At 38.7% G+C, this 22,500-nt stretch overlaps 1 protein-coding gene and 1 long non-coding RNA gene across 29 annotated transcripts in view, besides 1 other annotated feature; one reads left to right on the forward strand and one right to left on the reverse strand.

The window, feature by feature from the left end:
* Positions 1 to 22,500, reverse strand: part of CFAP20DC (CFAP20 domain containing) — a 333,853-nt gene that overhangs the window by 113,428 nt on the left and 197,925 nt on the right. For 22 of the 28 annotated variants that reach the window (XR_001740051.3, XR_001740054.3, XR_001740052.2 and 19 more), the window contains 2 exons: positions 19,432 to 19,809; positions 2,086 to 2,289 (listed from right to left, as the gene is read on the reverse strand). Coding sequence is in view for 19 of the 28 variants with exons in the window: in XM_011533456.3 (XP_011531758.1) it covers positions 2,086 to 2,289; positions 19,432 to 19,809 (582 nt within the window). In the remaining 9 variants the exon portion in view is untranslated. Of the gene's footprint in view, positions 1 to 85; positions 336 to 2,085; positions 2,290 to 19,431; positions 19,810 to 22,500 lie in introns of those variants that run through there. The other 6 variants (XR_007095648.1, NM_198463.4, XM_047447656.1 and 3 more) reach the window with 3 other exon arrangements.
* The window catches only part of CFAP20DC-AS1 (CFAP20DC antisense RNA 1), a 194,623-nt gene that overhangs the window by 5,130 nt on the left and 166,993 nt on the right, over positions 1 to 22,500 (forward strand). The gene's annotated exons all lie outside the window — the stretch shown is intronic.
* Positions 12,843 to 13,459: an enhancer, noted in NCBI's record as "OCT4-NANOG-H3K27ac-H3K4me1 hESC enhancer chr3:58828169-58828785 (GRCh37/hg19 assembly coordinates)". NCBI's record gives its function as "activates a minimal SCP1, AML or CMV promoter by ChIP-STARR-seq in naive H9 embryonic stem cells {active_cell/tissue: H9 hESC(naive)}" and the evidence as "EXISTENCE:reporter gene assay evidence [ECO:0000049][PMID:30033119]".

Genomic DNA, 22,500 nt, shown 5'->3' on the forward strand with positions numbered 1-22,500 from the left:
TTTTCAATATTTTCTCTGTCTAAAAAATATCAGACCATTTTCAGTTTCTCATTTGGTCAAATAGAGGGGTTATTAAGTTCATTACCAAAGGCCTTATTTTTGGCTGTATACTTTTCGAGTGGAATAGATGTCATGCAGGAGACTTCAGTCCTTGCCAGAACAGGACAGCGATGAGAACACTGTATCCAGGGCAACCAAGAGTTCAGCCTTTTCAGTCCATAAATAATCATTCCTCAGCTTGCCCTTTGTAATGTTGGTCTCCAAGCTACTTCATGACAGAATCAGCTCGATCAGGAGGCCACTGTTCTCTTTCTTACTTGCAGTTTAAATGACTGCTGCAGAGTATTTTATAAGAAAGGCAATGTTTCAATTCTACTGCAAATTGTACTGGTAAAAATCTGCAACTGACTCTTATGATCTTAGCTTGGCTACAAGAATACTCTAACCAGAGTAACCAGAAGTCAGATATTTTTCTGGGTGCGTGGATACTTTTTGGCACCAAGGCTGCCAGAGGTGTTATGTATATTTGATAGTTGTGTTTAATGAAAGCACAACTGAGGCAAGAGAAACCTGAAGGTATGCAAGGTAGGGATAAAGAGCACTAATCCCCCCATCAAACCAACTGGAATTCTTCTCCATGAAGACTTGTGTAAGTTCTCCCCAGAGCACAGAAATCTCACCTTCCATGGGATATCCAGATATCCACTGGATAACACTCATTTGACAACTGAGTCACCACATCATGGTGGTCAGGAGCCCAGACTTAGGAGTCAGACCAAGTTAGATCTGATTCACTTTACTCAAGAGCCTCCATTACTCAAGAGCTCTGCAACAGTGCTTACCACACAGAGTAGCCGTAAGGAGTAAACTAGATAACATGTAAGGCATTAGGTGCCAGGGCCTCTGAGATTTCCAAGATCTACAAAGATGTTGGAGACCTGGAAAAAACTGGCTTTAAAATATGAAAAGCAAGTCACAAAATTCATATGTATTTAATTAAATACTTAAAACCTAACTTATCCGCGTCAACTATACTTCAACTCAATCTTTATATAGTTATATATAAATGAGTAAAAGTTATTTTATATTTTCTTTAAAAATTGTATAGCAAAAACATATTTACTTTTGGATGAAAGTATATTTTAGTCTGTTTGCTATGATATTGAATGTAGCCTTATAAGTAAATGTTTCTCAGGCCTGTGGAGGTCTTAAAATGGCTCTAGGTACTTAAAGAAATGGTAGCTCTAATTATCATTATTATACCAATGATTTTATTATTCTGCCTTATGACATTTCTTGTGCTGTACTGAACTGTTCGACTGTTGTTTACGCTCTGTCTTTCCAATTAAGTTGTAAGGTCCTTGAGGACAGTATTGTAGAGAATGGACTGAGTTTAAAAACTGGGCTCTGCTCTGGGCTCCACCACTGACCAGGTGTGGAAGCTTGGACCCAGGCTTTAGTTTCTTCACCTGAAAAACAGGAAGACTAAGACCTGTTCCAACTCCTCTGCTGGGCCATAGTGAGGGCAATGGGCCATACTGAAGTGCTTTAACTATGGAAACACATGGGAATATAAGCTTCTGAAGCATCCACAGTGCCTATCGTAGCCCATCAGACACAGGGAGCAATCAGTGAACATCTGGTGACTTCTACAGAAGGTTCTTTTCTGTCTTCATATCCAAGCAATACTTGTGTATCTATAGTCTTTTCCTCTGTGTTCATTCATTTCATAAATACTTATTTAACAAATATTGAGCCTCTTGTATGTGCCACAGGGCTTGTACTAGGGGATACAATGGGACACCCAGTGTCTACAGTAAAATTGTTCTTTTTGTTCTTTCAATGTGTGATTTGATATATCATCATATATACATTTTCTGAAGGTAAATAAGACAATTTAAGAAAAGACTGTCATCTTCTAATTTCTGTCCTTTCTCAAACACTATTTCAGAATGGACTCTGATTATTTCTCATAGGGAGAGTTCTCATTTTGGTCCTGGCTTTTCCAGGCAAAGCTGGGATTTGTTAGAAAAAAGCTTGCTCCTTGTTAAGCAATGAGAGGAAGCTGCAAAGCCAGGGACTCACGGGTGGCAGGCAGGAGTTCCAGGTGGTTGTGTCGTCACTGCTGGTACTTATGCTGACATTACAGTTGTCCACCTGGGAGGCACTCAGGCCATGGGAGGTCCCAGCATCCTCCAGTTCTTCATTTTGTTGCCACCGTAGGCTTGCTAGCATCTGTAACTCGGATTCACTCATCTGGCTTGGCTGATAGTTTCGCCAGTCATATTCCTGACCAAGAGAGAGGAAAATAACAAAGGGTCATTTGGCCTAATTCTACGGCTACTAACAAATGCCACAGCCTTAACCCCTACAGCAGCTCCCCCAACTGACAGAGGCCCAAATCCCTAACATGCCTCCATGCGCTACCTGCCCCATCCATTATACCACCTCCTGTCCATTTGCTCCTCACATGCCAGCCACTTTGTCCTTCATTAAGGTCCTCAAAAGCATCAGTCCTCTCTTAGTCCTGTGCACATGCAAGTCCCCTCTGCCTCGTGTTCTGGGTAATGCTTAGGCTCCCTTCAGGTCCTCAGTTATGATGACTTCCTCAGGGAAGCCTTTCCTGACAACCATAAACTGGGTCAGCTCCTTTATGATGCCCTCTCAGAATCTTAAAATTTTCACTTTTAGCATTGATCACAGTTGCACTGATGGAATTGTTTCTGGAGTTGGCAGGTTTGCTGGGAGCTCTACAACGGCAAGCACCATGACTGTTTTGCTCTCACTGCCTTTCCTAGGTCTGGTGCCTAGTAGGTGCCCAACCAGTTTTTGTAGATTAAGTAAATAAACAAAAACTCAAAGTAGTTTTTTTTTTAAATTTGCCATTTAAAAAAGCACAGCTTATGAGTGAATTGATGAATTTCATCATTGTAAACATAATGACCAAATATATTCAACTTGCAGTAAGATTGAGAATGACTAGTATTGGTAAAAGCCATCAAGTAAAATTTGAATGTAAGATGGGAACCTGTCAGTTCTGAAAGCCTGGAAGATCTCATAGCTCCAACCAAGGTGGATTTACTGTATATGTCATCTGTCAGGTACTTTTTGAAAAAGAATACTACTACAGATCTTTAGATGCTAGTATAAATATTATTTCATGGTATAGGTGGAAATTGGCATGTAGACTTTTCAAAATTTTCCCTTTCTTTCTCTCTGGCCTAAACTAGATTTGATAACAAACATTAATTTCAACATTACTAAAATATTAGAATCACATATGAGCAGTGTGATTTACACGCAGAACTGCCATATAACTTAAAAGCAATTTGAAAATTTTCTTGTACATCTGGAAACACTGGTTGTACTAATAAGGATTTTTTTCCAAGACACCTTAGAATTTTTTAGATGTTTATATCTCTACATACACTTTCTTGGAGGACTCTCTGGCTTCTTTTCTGCCTCATAGGAGTGTAAAAAATTTAAAAATACATAATTTTGAAAAAAATTCTTGGAGTTCCTATGACATTAAATGCTTTATAATAAAACATTATTATCTTCATAATTTGGGGTTTATAAAAGCTTGTTATCTGATAATGTGATGTGGAGACTTCCTAAAAAGTTGCCAGTGGAAACTCAGTTAAATCCTTATAGTTCATGGCACAAGCAGCTTGGCACTGTGAGAGGCCAGGCAATCTTTAATAAGGTATTTCATGAGCATTTAATATGCTTTCAGAGTTCTTGGGCCAAAATACGTATCACAAGAAGAAGAATAAAATGTATATCCCAATGAAAAATGCAAAAATAAAAAAGGAAACAGAAATAATTTAAATTCAAAAGAAGTAGTTGAGGGGACAATAAACACATACAAAGATGTTCAACATCCTTGTCATTAGAGAAATACAAATCAAAACCACAATGAGATACCTTCACACCCATTAGGATGGTTACAATAAAAAAGAGACAATAACACGTATTGGCAAGGATGTGGAGAAACTGAAACCCTCATACAGTGTTGGCAGAAAAGTAGAATGTTGCAGCCACTTTGGAAAACAGTTTGGCAGTTCCTCAAAATGTTAAACATCTGAGTTACCATGTGACCCAGCAATTCACTCCTAAGCATATACCAAGAAAACTGAAAACATATGTTCACACAAAACTTGCACACAAATGTTCAAAGAAGCATTATCCATAATAGCCAAAAAGTGAAAACAACCAAGTGTCTATCAACTGATGGATGAGTTTTTGTTTATCCACATAATGGAATATTACTCAGCCTAAAGAGTAATGAAGGGCTGGATGAACTTTGAAAATATTATGCTATCTGAAAGAAGCCAGGCACAAAAGGCCACATATTGTGTGATTTACTTTATATGAAATGTCCAGAATAGGCAAATTCACAGAGACAGAAAATAGATTAGCGGATGGTGGGGCTGGAGGAAAGGGAAACGGGAAGTGACTACTAGTGGGTGCATGTTTTCCTTTTGGAGTGATTAAAATGTTCTGAAATTAGGTCAAAATGATGGTTACAGAATCTTGTGAATATACTAAGAACTCCCGAATTCCTTACTTTAAAAGAGTGAATTTTATGGCATACAAATTATATTTCAATTTAAAAAAAGGAGTTTGGTAATCAGATGTGCACATGAGAATACCAGCTGCTTGACTTTAGCTGCAGCAGTGAGCAAGTGACTTGCTGTTCTTCAGTTTTTCGGTCAAGAAGTGGGATTAAGCGTTCTAATGTGTCACATAGGTATGTTAGTTGGCTCATCATTGCCAATACACACTTTTACAATGAAAAACACATTTTATTTTAATTTTCATAATTTTTCTTAAGAAGAAAGCTTTAATATGTACTTCATATGATTGAGTCATTCATTCAATTTACTTATTTAATCCACAAGGCTGTAGTGTGCCTGAAGAACAACACTGGGTTCTAGGAGAGAAGAATAAGAGAGGATGTGGCAGTGGTTAAGCCAGAAAAATCTAAGCCTGGGCCTTCGTTCCACCACTTACCAGCTTTAAATGACTAGGAAAATTACCTAACCTCTCTATGCATCAACTTCTTCATCATGGGGACCACAGTACATACCTCACAGGATTTTTGGTGAACTAAATGAAATAATATTACATTGAATGCTTAGTAGAGGCACCTGACAAACAAATATACTAGGGGGGTCTCCAAATGCGTGATTTGTACCTTTAATGGAAAATTTTTGAATGTGTACTTTGTAATATATGTTTATTTATGAACTAAATATATGCACAAACATTTTAAAATAGTATGTAGAGTACAAAACATACATAAAAAATTGGAATTAAAGTGCTTAGGATTAAAAAAACAAACTTGTTTTCAATTTTTCTTCCTGAATCTGAATGGGTTGTCTTTGGTACACACTTTCAGGGATGAGCACAGCCCTCTTAAGAGACTGCTGAGTTGGCAGTCAATACATATATCCCTGTTCTTATTATTTTTTCCTCTCATCTTCTCTGTCCCCCTTCTTCCAGTCTTTCATCCATTCTGTAAATGCTAGGAACTGGGAGCACAAAGAAAACAAGACATACTTCTGTCGTCATGGAGTTCACAGTCTACAAAGGGAGACCTGAGAGGTATTATATAACTGGAATTCTAATGTACTGTGAGAAATATGACAACAGAAGTATGAATAAGATGCCTGAGGAATGCAGCACAGATGTGACTAACCGCCCAGTGGAATTAGAAAAAACCTCACAGAAGTCTAAGGTGGCATTTGAGAGTAATTAAATTTGTTGACAAATGGAGTTAGTGGCCTTCAGAGGGACTCCCACCACTGGCAGGCAGTATTGAAGCTGAGGCTGAAGGAATATGTGGCTGCGATATTCCCTGTATTCCACTGCAGTAATAGAAATAGATTGATTCGTTAATTTATTCTGTAGAAACTTACTGAGACCCTATTATGTGCCAGGCACTGCTGATGCTATATTTGCTTAAAATGCTGCATTTCCATGACTTTATTTCATACAACAGTAAAATGTATTCTGACAACACCCTGGAAGGGGCAGCCAAAATCCAGCAGAGAGAAGAAAGCAACTTTCTCCAGCATCACTAATAGAGCAACTGGTGATGGAGTCAGGTAATTAACTTAGTCCTGCGAAATGTTTTTGATTTGCAATCTCCCAAATCATTTCAAAATCACCAGAAAGGCTAAATCATTTATTTGTTATTTTTAAGAAGCTTTGCAATAAAGTCTTTGCATTAAAGTGGACTCCAGCACAAGATGTCATCTAACTAAATTACACTACTGCTGAGAGGCAAAGTGGCTTATGTAATACTATCTCTGAAAGGCTCAAAATGTTATGTATAATTCAATTTCATCTCAAAATATCCTTGTAGGAAAGAGGGGAGACATTATCAATCAGATTTGTCCTAGGAACGAGGCAATGGGCTGAAGGCTATGTACAATTCAGCTGTGCTCAGATTCGCAGGCCAGTCCTTCTCTCTCCAAGCCATTCAATCCATTCATTTTCACTGATCTTTCTCCAGACATTATTGGGAGCCTACACCAGTGAAGTTACAAAGACAATTAAGATATGGCCTTGCTTTCATAAACCTTACATCTATCAGGGCAATTGAGAGCTATAAAGAAGGAACTCTAAAATAGGATAGTATATGTTGAGGTATAGTATTAATGATCACACAGGTCCTTGATAATGATTAAAAGGAAAACTGATAACTCCAGCAAAAACATAAAACACAACAAACAGAAACAACCTTTCAACTTGATGTCCTTCGCCCAATCTATTCCTTAAGCTGCTAGGACAGAATAGTTTAATCAATCAAACATCTGATGATAGAACTTTTTGAGCCTCAGATAGGAACCAGTTCTGCTAAACATTGGGTGACACAAGGCTAAATCTACAGTGGAGGTGTGGAGAAAAATGAGACATGGCCATGGGATAAGATCAGACCAAGAATCTCATTCTGTTCTTCATGGGCTGAAGGGGGATAGAATTGAGAGAAAACTGGGATGTTACTTTTGTTCTGGAGCCTACAAAATCTGTGAGACTCTCTTGTCAGTATCAGGCTTGCATTGTGACAGTGCCTGATAGTCATGGCCCAGGAGACATCATGTTGCAAAAACTTTCAATACAAGGACTATCGAACAATCTCCACCTCTGTATTTAAAAAAAAAATTATTCCCAGTGTAACTTTTTAAAAAAGCACTATTACAAAGGAAATGGTGGCTGTTGGGATATAATATTAAAAACAACATAAGAGAAGGGAGATATACAAAATGGTTTGGCATTTCAGAAAAGAGAAAGGTCGTTTTGTGGAGGATCAGTTAAAGCTTCATAAAGGATGGAGGAGACGGTCCCTAAGAAGGGGCTTGAAGGAGAAGGAGGGTAATATGGCAGCACGTTCCAGCCATCAGGCAGAAAAGCATGGGGCAACCTGGAAGTAGGGAGCTTGTGTTCATATCAAATAATTAAATAGACTATCAAGTAATACTTATACATTACTGTTTCAGCAATGAAGCCAGTAATACCGTTCCAAAGCATCAAGGATAAGAATGCCTGTAATTTACTCTAAACCTTAAGAGACCAGATGGCTTCCCTTTCCCTGCCCAAGTTTTATTAAAAGTCTAAGATTCTACCAAAAGATATATTCTTAATAGCTTCTAAATGGAAATCGCCCACATGCCCATCAACAGTAGAATGGATACATAAAGGATGATATAATCACACAGTGGAACACGACACAGCAGTGAAATGAGTGATGTATTGAAGCTAATGAACAAAATGCTAAGTGAGAGAAGCCAGACACAGAAGAGTACATATTGGTAAAACCAAATGTGGGGATAATTAGTTGTGAGGAACGAATAGTGACAGGGAGGGAGCACAGTGGGGCTTCTGGGGTACTGATCTTGCTCTTTCTTGATCCAGAAAATGGTTGCATGGGTGTGTTCAGTTTGTGAAAACTCATCAACATACAGGCTTATAATATGCACACTTCTCTCTGATCAACAACAAAGTCTAAGGCTCACTTGTGAATCACTGGAAAACTCAATCTAAACAGTCTTAGCAGTGAAAAAAAGTATTTTGTAAATACAGCTGGAGAGTCAGTATCACTGGTGGTTTGAAATTTATATTTATTAAAAACTTTATAGCTGTCATTAGAAAGTTTTGGAAGATGTTTTTGGACCCCAACATGACAGTAAGAAAAGTACTAGAAGTCCATTTTCCAAAGCTAATTTTAAACTTCAACTGCCATTTGAATTCGAGGATTAATCTTCTCTCTATTGCTATTTGCAGACAGTGTTTAATCTCCACAGTGACATTTTAAATAATAGCTGATGGTAAATTAGTGTTCCAGGGCACCTCTTTACTAGCATTCCTGAAAACTTGTTTCAGATTCTCAAGCTAGGCATCATACCCAAGAGTTTAACCTGACTCATTGGGGATGTAGGTCCAATAATAAAAGGAATGGAGAGAAGACAGTAGCCACAAGCACAAGCTGTAAGTGACACATATTTGTGCGCATAGCTCATTCACAATTTATGGTAGCTTTTAGCACGTGTCTCTACCATGCAAAGGAGTAAATTAAAGCTTAAAGACCAAGCCACGGCACAACTTGAAAAATTTTACTAAATTTAAGGGTTGCTATATTGAGTTACATAGCAGGAATCAGGAGTTAGGCCATAACCAGCTGGTCAGAATCTAGATCGTGTATTATGTTCATGGCAGGCACATGGACCTAGGCATAACCAGACTTGATGCTGCCTTTGAAATATCTGTCATAAGCATTTTAGCATGCGACCCTGAAGACATTTCATAAGCCTGGCTCAACTCATACTTCATTAACTATGCACACCACTCACTTAAGAATGTCTCAGGTAGAAGATTCTTGGGTAATTAAACCAATTGGTGGCAAAATTCCTTGTAAAGAGATAGATAACTTTCCATCTCACATATGTGTCTCTCTTTTTTGGGGAGGAGCATGCATGAAAGGTTTTGTAAAAAAAGATCTTTATATTGATGTGCTATATTTATATAGAATAACTTTTTACTCTATGACCTAAATAGAAATATACTTCCATACATTTTGCTGTGATAGCCTGCTAATTTTCAGAAAGAATTCTCTGACAAATAGAGCTGAACTCTTATTAACCTTAAAGTGAATTGAAAAACAAATTTTAAGTTTCCCGCACCTATCTTCTGAGTTCAGGGTATGTCTCAAGCTTAACAATTAACTATACACTAGAAGGAATATAGTAAAATCTAATCGAATAGGTTTCATACTATATTCAAGGATATGCCATCTACAGGGCAACTATAGCCTTGTACATAGGACAAGTATAGTAGCCATTCAATAAATGGTAGTTTAAGATATTATTTAAAGAACCAGGAGGAAAATTATTACTGAGACTGTTTACAGAAATGAAAATAGAGGAGGTAAGCCAACTGATATATCTGGAGTGGGAAGATGATAACTTTAAGTAAGCTTGAACTGTTTTAGAATGTAAAGCTTTGGTTGAATAGAGTAATGACAGATATACCAACATTTGTGTGTGCTTTTGCACATTAAAATACGTTAAAGCATAAAGTGGCAAGAGAAGTTGTCACATGATCATGGAATGTTTTCAGTGGCCTCTAATTGGGGGTAGCAGCCCATTGTGGTGGAAGGTGCCCTGGCTTTTCTGTCCCTAACTCCTGGATTTGACACTGCTTTGTCACAATTTAGATGAGAGTGAGGTGGAGCCTTTCTGCTTCCTGTCTGTCAAAGAGGAATAATAAGGCCTCTTGTGAGGGTTGGAGATGAAGATAAGATAAAGTAAGGAGCACCTTGTGGAAGGCCTGGCATATGGGAGATACCTCAAACCATTAAAGTCACATAAAAGCTTCTGAGTCAAGGATTTCAGATCTTAGTGCTTTTAGGAAATACACTCAGCTTAGTACCTTTTCCATGAAGAGGTGAGTAAGACTTGCTTCTATTTAAAACTTGGAAAACCAAGACAGCAGAGAAGATAAATGTCTTCAATAAACATTTGATGAGTAGGATGCTAACCTTAGCACTAGAATATTAAAGAATTGACAGTGAACCATCATAGTGTTGGCTAAACAGCCAACTCATACTTCTGATAGCACCTTAATGTCTGTCAAGTCTTTCTACCTAGAATTTCCGAAACTTTTGAGAACTTGAAATTTCTCCTCTTCATTAGAGTAATGGGCGCACTGTTTGCATACAAAGCTGCTCAGAAATGGAGATATCAAAATGTCTTAGTGACTACTGCTATTCCATACCATTACCCAAAATTTGAACCATAATTCCATTTTACTTATTTAAAAATACTTCTACTCCACACCATTTTGCCTTTGCAACCATTGCATTAAACACTGGATACAAAGAAAATGAAAGAAACAAACCATTCTGTAGCACAGCCAGGGTTCCGTCTGAAAAATATTTAAAAAGAGAGCAGAGGGACAGGAACAAGTTACACCTGGAAAATTTCTATGCCTAATTCAAATACTTTTACTGGCAGTGGAAATGTTATTTAATCACCAAATTCTGCAGTTTCAGCAATATCCCCAGCAGTGCATTGACAGATAAAACTGAGATAATAAACTTGTCTTTTCTGAGACAAGGAAAGAGTGCAGTTTTGACAAAACATCAAATATCAGACTGTTTTCCAAAAGCTATTGGTAGGAGTGTCCCACTTAGTAAAGGAAACATTCTCACTATGGTTAGCATTATGGTTTATGAACTGCTACTAGTTATGCCCAAATTCAATTCAAGACCTCAAGCAGGAAGCTACACATCTGCAATTTAGCTGTGTGAACAAGGTAGACACACAGAGGGTGGTCTCCGGGAAATTATCAGATAGACACTGCTTCCTGCTTATAAATAAATATTTTTCTCTCTTTAGGTTATCCCTGAGAACATGCCAATATGTTACCTGGCAGAAAGCACACAGAAATTCACTGTGTTAGCACTTGATTCAACTATAAATAAAGAGCAGGAAGCACACAACCACAGAGCCACCACCCCTGTAGAACAGTACCTGTAATTAATTTATGGAACTTTATGAATTTGAGAAGGTTTCATTTGCTTTAGAATGCCAGCCATACTGGTTTATATTTCTGCCTAACCACTCAGCAAAAGGTAGAAGAAAGTATACTTCAGATTAGGGGCTAGGTGTTCTACATGCGCTATCTAATTTTACACTCAAAACAACCTTGTGGGATAGGTATTATTTTCTCCATTTTATAGATGAGGTAACTGAGGCTCCAAGACATTAAGAAATGTGTCCAAGGTTGCATAGATAAGAAAGAACAAAGCCAGGACTCAACACCAGGCCTGTCTGATTCCAGCTGGTGCTCTGAGCCATGGTTTCCACTGCTTTTGACTTTTCAGTCATGGAGAATGAAAATGCAGATAGCTTTGACAGAGGGTTCTGTTTGGGGAAGGCTATTTATCAAATGACCTAGAGCAGCATGAGGCCAGTGGGCACATGTGGTAGAAACTGCCAAAGGAGGGAGAACCACCCCTAAGTGAACCTGCACAGTTAGCCAGGGCAATGAACATATGTCTAACACACAGGGTGACCTGACTCTCAAACAGGTGTTTTGAAATAATGCAATGTTGTTGTAGCTGAAGGGAGAGAAGGGTCAGAAAGACATTTATGGATTCTTCAAACAATGGGGTATTGTTGGAAAAACAGCTGCAAATGGCACATTTGAGTGGCAAATGGAAAGAGAGAGAGATGGCTTGAACAAAGAGTATTATATACCCTAGAAAAGGCAGAATTTTATATAATGAAGCAATGCTTTAAAAATACTAAAATAATTTACAAATTCATTTTTTCTCTAAGTTTATGGAGCACAAATTGCAGAGACTTTTATTACTTTAAAAATGTGATGATATTCTCTACTCCAATACTGAGTTTAAATATATCGGGGCAGAAACAAAACTAATTCTTTTACATTATCCAAAGGAAATGGCTTGATAATTAAAGGGAAAAATGTGCTCACACTATTCTATGGCCTAAAATATATTCAAAAGTGTCTTTCCATAATTCAGTTTTGATTTTCAAAAATGGAGATGTGAAGGTTAAAGTCAAAAGTTATATGGCTCATTTTACAATTCTTTTCCTATTAAAAGTCATGTCTCTTTCTTTTCTAAAGACAATACCTGAATTTATAATTGGTAGCATGCTTTGTCTTTCTTATGAAACTACGCATTCTTCAATAAGCTCAAACTTTTTCTGGAGCTATAAAGTCTGTTATATAAGTCTTTTGTTTGTTTGTTTAAAGAAACACATAATGACATTTGCCAGTTTAAAATGATTCGTTCAAAATTGCTTGAATACAGTTATACGTGCGAAAAAGTTTAATTACCAGCTATCTACATGGTTGCAATATTACCCAGAGGGTTGTACTTCTTTCCTAATTAAAAATATTTGAACGTAGTAATAGATAACTCTATTAAAGTATGAATAAAACATTGCAAAGAACAAGTTTACCCAGCACTTAGCAAATCATTTTCAGTAAGCATTCCTTAAGAATTACCAGTACTCGGAGGAGCCAAGATGGCCGAATAGGAACAGCTCCGGTCTACAGCTCCCAGCGTGAGCGACGCAGAAGACGGGTGATTTCTGCATTTCCATCTGAGGTACCGGGTTCATCTCACTAGGGAGTGCCAGACAGTGGGCGCAGGCCAGTGGGTGCGCGCACCGTGCGCGAGCTGAAGCAGGGCGAGGCATTGCCTCACCTGGGAAGCGCAAGGGGTCAGGGAGTTCCCTTTCCGAGTCAAAGAAAGGGGTGACAGACGCACCTGGAAAATCGGGTCACTCCCACCCGAATATTGCGCTTTTCAGACCGGCTTAAAAAACGGCGCACCACGAGACTATATCCCACACCTGGCTCGGAGGGTCCTACGCCCACGGAATCTCGCTGATTGCTAGCACAGCAGTCTGAGATCAAACTGCAAGGCGGCAGCGAGCTGGGGGAGGGGCGCCCGCCATTGCCCAGGCTTGATTAGGGAAACAAAGCAGCCAGGAAGCTCTAACTGGGTGGAGCCCGCCACAGCTCAAGGAGGCCTGCCTGCCACTGTAGGCTCCACCTCTGGGGGCAGGGCACAGACAAACAAAAAGACAGCAGTAACCTCTGCAGACTTAAGTGTCCCTGTCTGACAGCTTTGAAGGAGCAGTGGTTCTCCCAGCACGCAGCTGGAGATCTGACAACCGGCAGACTGCCTCCTCAAGTGGGTCCCTGACCCCTGACCCCCGAGCAGCCTAACTGGGAGGCAACCCCCAGCAGGGGCACACTGACACCTCACACGGCAGCGTATTCCAACAGACCTGCAGCTGAGGGTCCTGTCTGTTAGAAGGAAAACTAACAAACAGAAAGGACATCCACACCGAAAACCCATCTGTACATCACCATCGTCAAAGACCAAAAGTAGATAAAACCACAAAGATGGGGAAAAAACAGAACAGAAAAACTGGAAACTCTAAAACGCAGAGCGCCTCTCTTCCTCCAAAGGAACACAGTTCCTCACCAGCAACGGAATAAAGCTGGATGGAGAATGACTTTGATGAGCTGAGAGAAGAAGGCTTCAGATGATCAAATGACTCTGAGCTACGGGAGGACATTCAAACCAAAGGCAAAGAAGTTAAAAACTTTGAAAAAAATTTAGAAGAATGTATAACTAGAATAACCAATACAGAGAAGTGCTTAAAGGAGCTGATGGAGCTGAAAACCAAGGCTCGAGAACTACGTGAAGAATGCAGAAGCCTCAGGAGCCCATGTGATCAACTGGAAGAAAGGGTATCAGCAATGGAAGATGAAATGAATGAAATGAAGCGAGAAGGGAAGTTTAGAGAAAAAAGAATAAAAAGAAATGAGCAAAGCCTCCAAGAAATATGGGACTATGTGAAAAGACCAAATCTACGTCTGATTGGTGTACCTGAAAGTAATGGGGAGAATGGAACCAAGTTGGAAAACACTCTGCAGGATATTATCCAGGAGAACTTCCCCAATCTAGAAAGGCAGGCCAACGTTCAGATTCAGGAAATACAGAGAATGCCACAAAGATACTCCTCGAGAAGAGCAACTCCAAGACACATAATTGTCAGATTCACCAAAGTTGAAATGAAGGAAAAAATGTTAAGGGAAGCCAGAGAGAAAGGTCAGGTTACCCTCAAAGGGAAGCCCATCAGACTAACAGCGGATCTCTCGGCAGAAACCCTACAAGCCAGAAGAGAGTGGGGGCCAATATTCAACATTCTTAAAGAAAAGAATTTTCAACCCAGAATTTCATATCCAGCCAAACTAAGCTTCATAAGTGAAGGAGAAATAAAATACTTTACAGACAAGCAAATGCTGAGAGATTTTGTCACCACCAGGCCTGCCCTAAAAGAGCTCCTGAAGGAAGCGCTAAACATGGAAAGGAACAACCGGTACCAGCCGCTGCAAAATCATGCCAAAATGTAAAGACCATCGAGACTAGGAAGAAACTGCATCAACTAACGAGCAAAATCACCAGCTAACATCATAATGACAGGATCAAATTCACACATAACAATATTAACTTTAAATGTAAATGGACTAAATGCTCCAATTAAAAGACACAGACTGGCAAATTGGATAAAGAGTCAAGACCCATCAGTGTGCTGTATTCAGGAAACCCATCTCACGTGCAGAGACACATAGGCTCAAAATAAAAGGATGGAGGAAGATCTACCAAGCAAATGGAAAACAAAAAAAGGCAGGGGTTGCAATCCTAGTCTCTGATAAAACAGACTTTAAACCAACAAAGATCAAAAGAGACAAAGAAGGCCATTACATAATGGTAAAGGGATCAATTCAACAAGAAGAGCTAACTATCGTAAACATATATGCACCCAATACAGGAGCACCCAGATTCATAAAGCAAGTCCTGAGTGACCTACAAAGAGACTTAGACTCCCACACATTAATAATGGGAGACTTTAACACCCCACTGTCAACATTAGACAGATCAACGAGACAGAAAGTCAACAAGGATACCCAGGAATTGAACTCAGCTCTGCACCAAGCGGACCTAATAGACATCTACAGAACTCTCCACCCCAAATCAACAGAATATACATTTTTTTCAGCACCACACCACACCTAGTCCAAAATTGACCACATACTGGGAAGTAAAGCTCTCCTCAGCAAATGTAAAAGAACAGAAATTATAACAAACTATCTCTCAGACCACAGTGCAATCAAACTAGAACTCAGGATTAAGAATCTCACTCAAAACCGCTCAACTACGTGGAAACTGAACAACCTGCTCCTGAATGACTACTGGGTACATAACGAAATGAAGGCAGAAATAAAGATGTTCTTTGAAACCAATGAGAACAAAGACACAACATACCAGAATCTCTGGGACGCATTCAAAGCAGTGTGTAGAGGGAAATTTATAGCACTAAATGCCCACAAGAGAAAGCAGGAAAGATCCAAAATTGACACCCTAACATCACAATTAAAAGAACTAGAAAAGCAAGAGCAAACACATTCAAAAGCTAGCAGAAGGCGAGAAATAACTAAAATCAGAGCAGAACTGAAGGAAATAGAGACACAAAAAACCCTTCAAAAAATTAATGAATCCAGGAGCTGGTTTTTTGAAAGGATCAACAAAATTGATAGACCTCTAGCAAGACTAATAAAGAAAAAAAGAGAGAAGAATCAAATAGATGCAATAAAAAATGATAAAGGGGATATCACCACCGATCCCACAGAAATACAAACTACCATCAGGGAATACTACAAACAACTCTACGCAAATAAACTAGAAAATCTAGAAGAAATGGATAAATTCCTGGACACATACACTCTCCCAAGACTAAACCAGGAAGAAGTTGAATCTCTGAATAGACCAATAACAGGAGCTGAAATTGTGGCAATAATCAATAGCTTACCAACCAAAAAGAGTCCAGGACCAGATGGATTCACAGCCGAATTCTACCAGAGGTACAAGGAGGAACTGGTACCTTTCCTTCTGAAACTATTCCAATCAATACAAAAAGAGGGAATCCTCCCTAACTCATTTGATGAGGCCAGCATCATCCTGATACCAAAGCCGGGCAGAGACACAACCAAAAAAGAGAATTTTAGACCAATATCCTTGATGAACATTGATGCAAAAATCCTCAATAAAATACTGGCAAAACGAATCCAGCAGCACATCAAAAAGCTTATCCACCATGATCAAGTGGGCTTCATCCCTGGGTTGCAAGGCTGGTTCAATATACGCAAATCAATAAATGTAATCCAGCATATAAACAGAGCCAAAGACAAAAACCACATGATTATCTCAATAGATGCAGAAAAAGCCTTTGACAAAATTCAACAACCCTTCATGCTAAAAACTCTCAATAAATTAAGTATTGATGGGACGTATTTCAAAATAATAAGAGCTATCTATGACAAACCCACAGCCAATATCATACTGAATGGGCAAAAACTGGAAGCATTCCCTTTGAAAACTGGCACAAGACAGGGATGCCCTCTCTCACCACTCCTATTCAACATAGTGTTGGAAGTTCTGGCCAGGGCAATGAGGCAGGAGAAGGAAATAAAGGGTATTCAATTAGGAAAAGAGGAAGTCAAATTGTCCCTGTTTGCAGATGACATGATTGTATATCTAGAAAATCCCATTGTCTCAGCCCAAAATCTCCTTAAGCTGATAAGCAACTTCAGCAAAGTCTCAGGATACAAAATCAATGTACAAAAATCACAAGCATTCTGATACACCAACAACAGACAAACAGAGAGCCAAATCATGAGTGAACTCCCATTCACAATTGCTTCAAAGAGAAGAAAATACCTAGGAATCCAACCTACAAGGGATGTGAAGGACCTCTTCAGGGAGAACTACAAACCACTGCTCAAGGAAATAAAAGAGGATACAAACAAATGGAAGAACATTCCATGCTCATGGGTAGGAAGAATCAATATCGTGAAAATGGCCATACTGCCCAAGGTAATTTACAGATTCAATGCCATCCCCATCAAGCTACCAATGACTTTCTTCACAGAATTGGAAAAAACCACTTTAAAGTTTATATGGAACCAAAAAAGAGCCCGCATCGCCAAGTCAATCCTAAGCCAAAAGAACAAAGCTGGAGGCATCACACTACCTGACTTCAAACTATACTACAAGGCTACAGTAACCAAAACAGCATGGTACTGGTACCAAAACAGAGATATAGATCAATGGAACAGAACAGAGCCCTCAGAAATAACGCCGCATATCTACAATTATCTGATCTTTGACAAACCTGAGAAAAACAAACAATGGGGAAAGGATTCCCTATTTAATAAATGGTGCTGGGAAAACTGGCTAGCCATATGTAGAAAGCTGAAACTGGATCCCTTCCTTACACCTTATACAAAAATCAATTCAAGATGGATTAAAGACTTAAACGTTAGACCTAAAACCATAAAAACCCTAGAAGAAAACCTAGGCATTACCATTCAGGACATAGGCATGGGCAAGGACTTCATGTCTAAAACACCAAAAGCAATGGCAACAAAAGCCAAAATTGACAAATGGGATCTAATTAAACTAAAGAGCTTCTGCACAGCAAAAGAAACTACCATCAGAGTGAACAGGCAACCTACAAAATGGGAGAAAATTTTCGCAACCTACTCATCTGACAAAGGGCTAATATCCAGAATCTACAATGAACTCAAACAAATTTACAAGAAAAAAACAAACAACCCCATCAAAAAGTGGGTGAAGGACATGAACAGACACTTCTCAAAAGAAGACATTTATGCAGCCAAAAAAACACATGAAAAAATGCTCACCATCACTGGCCATCAGAGAAATGCAAATCAAAACCACAATGAGATACCATCTCACACCAGTTAGAATGGCAATCATTAAAAAGTCAGGAAACAACAGGTGCTGGAGAAGATGTGGAGAAATAGGAACACTTTTACACTGTTGCTGGGACTGTAAACTAGTTCAACCGTTGTGGAAGTCAGTGTGGCCATTCCTCAGGGATCTAGAACTGGAAATACCATTTGACCCAGCCATCCCATTACTGGGTATATACCCAAAGGACTATAAATCATGCTGCTATAAAGACACATGCACACGTATGTTTATTGCGGCATTATTCACAATAGCAAAGACTTGGAACCAACCCAAATGTCCAACAATGATAGACTGGATTAAGAAAATGTGGCACATATACACCATGGAATACTATGCAGCCATAAAAAATGATGAGTTCATGTCCTTTGTAGGGACATGGATGAAATTGGAAATCATCATTCTCAGTAAACTATCGCAAGAACAAAAAACCAAACACCGCATATTCTCACTCATAGGTGGGAATTGAACAATGAGATCACATGGACACAGGAAGGGGAATATCACACTCTGGGGACTGTTGTGGGGTGGGGGGAGGGGGGAGGGATAGCATCGGGAGATATACCTAATGCTAGATGACGAGTTAGTGGGTGCAGTGCACCAGCATGGCACATGTATACATATGTAACTAACCTGCACAATGTGCACATGTACCCTAAAACTTAAAGTATAATTAAAAAAAAAAAGGGCTTGGTACAGAGACTGGTACATGATGAATGTTCACAAAATATTAGCTACTTCTATTTTGCTGATGATAATCATGAATATATCTACTACCTACACCAGGTAACAATTAATCCACTCTAACTTGCTTAGAACATACTTGAACCAAAGCTTTACAATGCAACACCCACAGAATATTTAGGACATGAAACATAGAGAAAATCTTAAATGTTTTAAAAAATGGAATGTACATGTCATTTGTTATGCATAGCCTCATTTGTTCTCTAGTTTCTAAGTGCAGCTTATAGGGGAATTGAAGGAAGAAAAGTACTAATACAGGAAGGAAAAAATCAATCTGATGGACACGAATACAGCCACCAAACTAGCCGAGGGATTTATTCGATGACACTGTTTTAATGTTAACCTTCACTCATATCATTTATTATTTGGGGAACTGCTGTAGAAAGTGAATAGAATAATGGTGTTTTTATGGCTCCTAATGTAGATTGTTATTGAAAATCTGTCAATTTTACTGGCAAGCTTTTGGCTCAAAAATAAGATCATCATTTATAATTTGCAGGCAGTGATAACTACAAATTATGGGAAGTAACTAGAAAATAAAATAACTGTTATGATGAAAATTACATAATTATCTTTCTCATTAAAAACATGAGGTATTCTATTATCCTTGGGATGTGCAGTAGACTCTTTAACAGCTGCTATTACCAAACTAAAACACATCAGAACAGGAAAGAAAATACAACACTCATCACCCAAATGATGAAAAAGAGATACTGCTAAAAACATGGGTGGAACAGAACGGAACACAGCAGGATGTATTGCCGGCATCTGTAAACCACACGGGAACCACTTACAGATGCTTCGGGGATCGAGCTCAGCCTTTCCCCTGAGATTTCTTTCAGGGAGGTTTTGTTTAGTGAAGCTGGCACTTGCTGGGCTGATAGATCCTTCGCTTTGATTACGGGCTCTGGAGTTTTCTGACAGGACCCACACCTTCTTCCAGTTGGAGAAAGGCATGTTGTAGGCAACAAACTCATTTCAAAGTTATTTCTATCTATTTGCTCCATCGAGGAATCCTGGCTTTCTGTTGCTCCTGCTTCTGTGTAGGCGCTCCTTAGATATTCCTTACTTGTCCGCTTTGCAGCCTTCCCCAGCAGGCTCTCTAATGTTAACTGAGTTAACTCTGAAGGACCAGTTGTTGGGCCTCGAGAACCCTGGATACTGTGGTTACCCTATGTTGGGGAACAAAGTAAAAATAATTTTGAGCAGAAATTTGTGGTGAATAAGTTACTGAGTACAAGTTCTTAATAAATTCATATTTTCTATGAATAAAGCAAAAGCATCTATATATAGATTTTACTTTAATCTGCAAAGAAAAACATGAGTAACTAAAAGTAGCAATGCAAACAGTTATAAGCCATTTGCTAAAATGTCCTGCTATACGGTATTTGGTCTGGATAAGGCATATTTTTTACTCATGAAAAACAAGAGAACATTTAAGAAGTAGTTACTCATATTCATTCCAAAAAATGTCTAAAAGAAGAGGATCCAGAGCAAGTCATCTAAAACATCTAAGAATCGTATACTTTGACTTTCTGATAAGTTAACTCCATGGAAAAAGAAACAACTAAAACTTATGGTATTTAGCCTACTTAAGCAGAGAAATGGTACTCTATTAATAAATACAAGTGGGTCTAGGGAAGCATTTTTACCTTATTGTAGGGCAGTTTTGTTTTTCAAGAGCAATGGATAATGGAACATGTTTTATAAAGTATTTTTCTTACATGAAAATTTTAGTTTTAGAAAGTATATTTTTCCACAAAATATGAACGTCATTAAATATAAATACTTGGAAAGCTGAAAATGAAAGCTACAATAATTTTACAAGTCCACAGTTCTGTGATTTTCCATAGAAATGCAAAAGTTTAAATTTTTAAAATCTGATAAAGGCAGAATTACAAACATGAAATCAATGGCAATGAAAGTAGATAATGAAAATGAGAAATGTAGTGCTATTTCAATTGGTAGATTTTTATGTTATAAAATAATACATTTAAACTGTGTGATCACTGCATATACTTGTCATGGTAGATTCTTCGAATTTGACTCATTTATTTAAATATATATGGCCAGGCATGGCAGCTTATGCCTGTAATCCCAGCACTTTCAGAGGCCAAGGCAGGTGGATCACCTGAGGTCGGGAGTTCGAGACCAGCCTGACCAACATGGAGAAACCCTGTCTCTACTGAAAAAATACAAAATTATCTGGGCGTGGTGATGCTTGCCTGTAATCCCAGCTACTCGGGAGACTGAGGCAGGAGAATTGCTTGAACCTGGGAGGCGGAGGTTGCAGTGAGGCAAGATCATGCCATTGCACCCCAGCCTGGGCAACAACAGCAAAACTCCATCTCAAAAAAAAAAAAAAAAGACAAAACAACAAAAAAAACCAACCAACCAACCAAACAAAATATATAATAAATGGATGTGAAATGATAAACTTAGAATAGAGAAAAAACAAAAAAGCACAGTCCATTTTGAAGACATTATTTGGTGTCTGACAATGCGTATCTTGACATTCAGTTTCAGTAAGCTATTCCTTCACCCTTCAATTTATAGACACACAGAACCCAGAATCTAGTTATTTCTAAGGGTTGGCATTTTAAAAACAAATATTTGGGTGACTGATTGAACTGTTCAATTTCTTCCTGAATGTTTTACCATCATACACACTCAACATAATGGTGGCAGTCTCCGGTGAAATCTTCCTTTCAGAAGTGAAGCATGGGTAAAGGTGAGAGGGTTTGCTCTCAGTTGGGCAGGGGACAAGGGAGAGATCTACAAAAGCTTTTAATTAGAGGGGATCTATCTTATCATTTTTCTGTTTTCCTTTCTTCTTCATCACGGGCCAAGTACATCTAGGTGCTGCAGATTCTCGGAATGTAATGATAGACCAGAACATAATCCCTGCCATCCAGGGACTGTATTCTGAAGGCAAAGAGGAGTCATTGTGTGAAGTAGGGGAATGTCACAATGACACACAATAGAAGGCATGGGTATACGTTTATGGATACTGTTTGTGGAGTGTCTGGGTTGGCTTGTGGAGACAGTAGAACTGGAGGCCAATCAGTAGACTATTGTATTGTTATTAGGATTGTTGAGGTGCCTGAATTAAGGCAATGGCAGTGATGATATAGAAGCTGGACTGGTTTGAGAGTTCAAGTCAGTATGTCAAAGGCAGAGTATATCATACTGAGTAATTCTTGCAGTCTCTTACACAGAGTATGAGATCCTTAACCCATGCCCTGTTATAATTTTTTCTTTTTGTGAAATGTAGTTGAGATTAGCAGACAACTGTGCTCTCAAGAAAGGTCCAAAGTTGGACTTCAAAAAGCTCCAGGAAATTAAAAGATAAAAACAAAAAATATAAACTTTATTTCTCAACATAAGCTCCACCAAGTTCAAGACACTTTTGTAAGCCAGGATGTCAGCCATTTAGTCCATCCCTAAGAAACTGAGGATCCTGGGAATATAACCACGTCGATGTACTCTTTTTTTATATTACTAACTGAAAAAAAAACATGCCTCTTAAAGATTTTTAAGATTATAAAACAAAAAGGAGTCAGAAGGAGTCAAACCAGGGTTATAAGGTGGATACCTAATGATTTCCCAACAAAACTCTTGCAAATTTGAACTTTTTGATGAGAGAAGTGAGTAGGAGCATTGTCGTGGTGGAGAAAGACTGTGGGGAAGCTTTTGTGGGTGTTTTTCAGCGAAAGCTTTGGCTAACTTTCTCAAACCACTCTTATAATAAGCAGATGTTCTTGTTCTTTCACCCTCCAGAAAGTCAACAGCAAAATGCCTTGACCAATGCCCAAAACCATTGCCATGACCTTTGCTGCTGACTGGTCCACTTTTGCTTTGAC

This window comes from Homo sapiens, chromosome 3 (assembly GCF_000001405.40).
Source record: "Homo sapiens chromosome 3, GRCh38.p14 Primary Assembly".
Taxonomy (NCBI): domain Eukaryota; kingdom Metazoa; phylum Chordata; class Mammalia; order Primates; family Hominidae; genus Homo; species Homo sapiens.